This window comes from Homo sapiens, chromosome 5 (genome assembly GCF_000001405.40).
Source record: "Homo sapiens chromosome 5, GRCh38.p14 Primary Assembly".
Classification (NCBI taxonomy): Eukaryota; Metazoa; Chordata; class Mammalia; order Primates; family Hominidae; genus Homo; species Homo sapiens.
In genome coordinates this window covers 177,106,470-177,111,186 of record NC_000005.10, presented here as the reverse complement: position 1 = coordinate 177,111,186, position 4,717 = coordinate 177,106,470, and the positions used below count along the sequence as shown (strand labels likewise).

Below are 4,717 nucleotides of genomic sequence, written 5' to 3'. Positions count from 1 at the left end.
CCGAGTAGCTGGGCTACCTAGTAGCCCACCCACACCCAGCTAATTTTTGTATTTTTAGTAGAGACAGGGTTTCACTGTGTTGGCCAGGCTCATCTCAAACTCCTGACCTCAGGTGATCTGCCCGCCTCAGCCTCCCAAAGTGCTGGGATTACAGGCATGAACCACTGTGCCCGGCCTCCCTTTTATTTATTTATTTATTTATTTATTTATTTATTTATTTATTTCAGACAGGAGCTTGCTCTGTGTTCCAGGCTGGAGTGCAGAGACTCAATATCGTAGCTCACTGCAACCTACTGGGCCAGATCCTGAAGGCCTCCTCTGCGTGTTAAGGAGCTTGGACTATTCCAAGCAGAGACTGTTCTCTCTGTAAGAGTGATCCTACCACCTCAGCCTCCCAAGTAGCTGGGACTACAGGCACGTGTTCTCGCACTCGGCTAATTGTTTTATTTTTTTTGTAGAGACAGGGTCTCACTGTGTTGCCCAGACTGGTCCTGAACTCCTGGCCTCAAGTCATTCTCCCGCCTCAGCCTCCCAAAATGCTGGGATTTCAGGCGTGAAATGCCATGCCTGGCCTAGCAAATCCTCTTATTCTGCATCTGGCCTTCCACTTTTCTCTATCCCCTTGGCCAAGCTGGGAGCCTCAGAATGTAGCTGTGCAGAGGCGCTGCTGGCCCCAGACCAGAGAGTGGGAGACAGCGTGGATGGTCACTCTGTGGATGCTCTGGGGCTCTTACTTCTGTCTTCTTGGGAGGCCACACATGTACTTTGGGGGGCTGTTCCGGTTCCCGGCTCTGAGTCTAGCCAGGCGCTGCAACAATCCCCTCCACTGCCTGCCCATCTGCACCAGCCCCTTGCTTTCCTGTCTTGTCACTTGCCTTAGGATAAACCCACAGCCTACGAGGCCCCCTGGGTTTGGCCTCATCTGGCACCGTGTTCCCCCTCACTCTTGTGCTCTGTCCACGGAGCTGGATCGGATGCCCTCACCTTCGCCCTGCACCTGCCTGCCTCCAGACCTTTGCAGAGACCATTCTGTCTGCCTGGAATGCATTTCCTCCCACTCTTCACAAGGCCAAGGCTCTCCTCCTTCAACTCAAACATCATTCCCTCAGGGAACCCTTCCCGGAGCCGGAGCCGGAGCCGGAGCCGGCCAGGATCAGTCCCCACCGTCAGCACTCACAGCTGCAGGCTGTTGACCTTCAGAGCTCTGCGTTTCATTACAGTCAGCATTTTCCTGGGTGTTTGTTGAATATCTGTCTCCATTTGTAGATACGAAACTCCTCAGGGCAGGGGCCAGGTCTGTCTTCACTGGGTATACCCAGTGACTAGAAGAGTACCTGGCCTATGGTAGGTGCCCAGTAAACATTTCTTGATTTACTGAGCCTTTCAATTCCCAACACTCCACAACTCCACACCCCTGCACGCCTTCCTCTATCTGGTCAGTGCTCAGTGCTTCGTTCTTTTTTTTTTTTCTTCTAATACAGAGTTTTGCTCTTGTTGCCCAGGCTGGAGTGCAATGGCACAATCTCAGCTCACTGCAACCTCTGCCTCCCGGGTTCCAGCAATTCTCCTGCCTCAGCCTCCGGAGTAGCTGGGATTACAGGCGCGTGCCACCACGCCCGGCTAATTTTTGTATTTTTAGTAGAGACAGGGTTTCACCATGTTGGCCAAAATGGTTTTGATCTCCTGATCTCGAGATCCATCCGCCTCGGCCTCCCAAAGTGCTGGGATTACAGGCGTGAGACACTACGCCAGGCCTCATTCTCCATTCTTATCACCCTGCCCCCCAGACAGTCGTGCTAATAGTTTTGTGTGTGCGTTCTTGGAAAATGTGTGTTTTCCGTGTCATCATTTCGTGCAAGTGGCTTTGTGCTTTAGATCTCATTCCATTTCTTCCTCTTGCCTCTCAGCACGAGATTTCTAAGTCCCCCATGTGGCTCTGTGTCCACCGGGTCCTCCACACATTCTGCTGATCCGCCTTCCAGTGAGGAACCCCAGGCTGGATCCAACCCCTCCTCCTGCCTTCCCCACACGGTCACATGGGAGGATCTCTGTGTGTTGTGTGTGTGTGTGTGTGTGTGTGTGTGTGTGTGTGTGTGTGTTTGGGGGCAGTTATATGTTCAGGGCAACATTTCCAGGTCATAGGGCATGTGTGTATATACTTAGCTGAATGCTCCTAGACTTCGCTGGGACAGCTTCAGCCCCCAGTCCAGGAGAGCCTCTCGTCTCCTTGCCAGCACCTGGAGTTCTCCAGCTTTTTTTTTTTTTTTTTTTTGAGACGGAGTCTCTCTCTGTCACCCAGGCTGGAGTGCAGTGGGACGATCTCAGCTCACTGCAAGCTCCGCCTCCTGGGTTCACGCCATTCTCCTGCCTCAGCCTCCTGAGTAGCTGAGATTACAGGTGTGCACCACCATGCCTGGTTAATTTTTGTATTTTTAGTAGAGACGGGGTTTCACCCTACTGGTCAGGCTGGTCTTGAACTCCTGACCTCGTGATCTGCCCTCCTTGGCCTCCCAAAATGCTGGGATTACAGGCTTGAGTCACCATGCCTGGCTAATTTTTGTACTTTTAGTGGAGACGGGGTTTCACCATGTTGCCCAGGCTGGTCTCGAAATCCTGACCTCAGGTGATCTGCCTGCCTTGGCATCCCAAAGTGCTGGGATTACAGGTGTGAGCCACCATGCCCGGCCTTTTTTTTTTTTTTTTTTTTTTTTTTTTTTTAAATACCGAGTTTTGCTCGTGTTGCCCAGGCTGGAGTGCAATGGTGCAATCTCAGCTCACTGCAACCTCTGCCTCCTGAGTTCAAGCGATTCTCCTGCCTCAGCCTCCCGAGTAGCTGGGACTACAGGCGCCCGCCACCGCGCCCGGCTAATTTTTTGTATTTTTAGTAGAGATGGGGTTTCACTGTCAGCCAGGATGGTCTCGATCTCCTGACCTCGCGATATGCCCGCCTCGGCCTCCCAAAGTGCCGGGATTACAGGTGTGAGCCACCGCGCCCGGCCCATTCTCTGACTTTCTCACTTGCCAGTCTGGTAGGTAGGAAGTGAGAGCACACCTAAGATTATTCTCGAGTCTCCAGATCTCCTCCAGTGCTTCTTAGCCTCTGGGTCTCCTCCTCAGTCAATTACCTGGTTGCACACTGTCCTTATTTGTGTTTCGAGGTGCCCGTCTTCTTTCGGAGTTGCAGGAGTTCCTTAGATATTGGTCCCTTGTCTCCCATGTTGTCCCCCACACAGTATTGGGGAATCCTGGTTTATAAGCAGACACCCCCAGCCTGGAGGTCCCTCAAGGGCAGTAACAGTCCCGAGCTGTCCCTGCGACTCCATCCTGACATCAGGGCTGGGCCACCGGGTCAGAGGATGAGAAGGGGTTGCCGGACCCCCTACAGACACTCTGGGGCTCATGGTTGCAGTCCCCTCAGGAGGCAACATGGATATTTTGGGAGCATTGTCTCAGGTCCTGAGAGTTTTTTGGAGCCTCTCTGAGATCAGCTCAGCAGCCTGGGATTTGAATTCTGAATTTGGGAAATTTATTCAACATGTCTTTTTTCCATGAACGTCTATGGAGCACGGACTATTAGGCAGACACCATTGTAGACATTGGCGGCGCAGCCCTTGGCTTCTCAGAGCTCACCTTTTGGTGGGAGCCAGTAAAGAGTGAACAAATAAGATCATCGCAAAGAAAACAAACGTCTAAAATATGGAATAACAGAGAGAGGACTTTGGCCAGGGTGATCAGGGGAGGCCAATCTTAGGAGCTGACTTTTATTCTGAGAGCCAGAAGAGCCAGGTGAAGATAGTGGCCAGTGCAAATGCCCTGGGGTGCTAGTGGGCTTGGGACAAGGGAGACACAGAAAGGTCATGGGGCTGGAGGCTAGACAGGGGAGGGGCGAGTAAGGAGCTTGGCAGTGGTCAGGGACCCATTCAGGCTGTGTCAGGTGGTTCTCTATTTGGGCTTGGGCTGCTGTGTGACGTGGGCAGCAGGATGGTTTGGCCTGAATGTGACTGCCTAGGAGGGTACTGGGCCCTGGAGTTTGTGAACTGGCTCTGGGGTGGCCGAAGCTTTGGGCCAGGCAGCTCTGGCAACTGTTCTGTACCCAGAGGGAATACTTTTCTTCCTTAATGTTTTTTTCTTTTCATTTTTCTCTCTCTCTTTTTTTTTTTTTTTTGAGATGGAGTCTGATCTGTCACCCAGGCTGGAGTGCAGTGGCGCGATCTCGGCTCACTGCAAGCTCCGCCTCCCGGGTTCACACCATTCTCCTGCCTCAGCCTCCTGAGTAGCTGGGACTACAGGCGCCCGCCACCACGCCCGGCTAATTTTTTGTATTTTTAGTAGAGACAGCGTTTCACCGTGTTAGCCAGGATGGTCTCGATCTCCTGACCTCGTGATCCACCCACCTCGGCCTCCCAAAGTGCTGGGATTACAGGCGTGAGCCACCGCGCCCAGCCTTTTTTTTTTTGAGACGGAGTCTCTCGCTCTGTCACCAGGCTGGAGTGCAGTGGCGTAATCTCAGCTCACTGCAATCTCCGCCTCCTGGGTTCAAGCGATTCTCCTGCCTCAGCCTCCTGAGTAGCTGGGATTACAGGCACGTGCCACCACACTCAGGTAAGTTTTGTATTTTTAGTATAGACAGGGTTTCACCATGTTGGCCAAGATGGTCTTGATCTCCTAACCTCGTGATCCTCCCGCCTTGGCCTCCCAAAGTGCTGGGATTACAGGT

At 52.7% G+C, this 4,717-nt stretch overlaps 1 annotated feature.

The window, feature by feature from the left end:
- Nucleotides 454-953: an enhancer, noted in NCBI's record as "H3K4me1 hESC enhancer chr5:176537235-176537734 (GRCh37/hg19 assembly coordinates)". NCBI's record gives its function as "activates a minimal SCP1, AML or CMV promoter by ChIP-STARR-seq in primed H9 embryonic stem cells {active_cell/tissue: H9 hESC(primed)}" and the evidence as "EXISTENCE:reporter gene assay evidence [ECO:0000049][PMID:30033119]".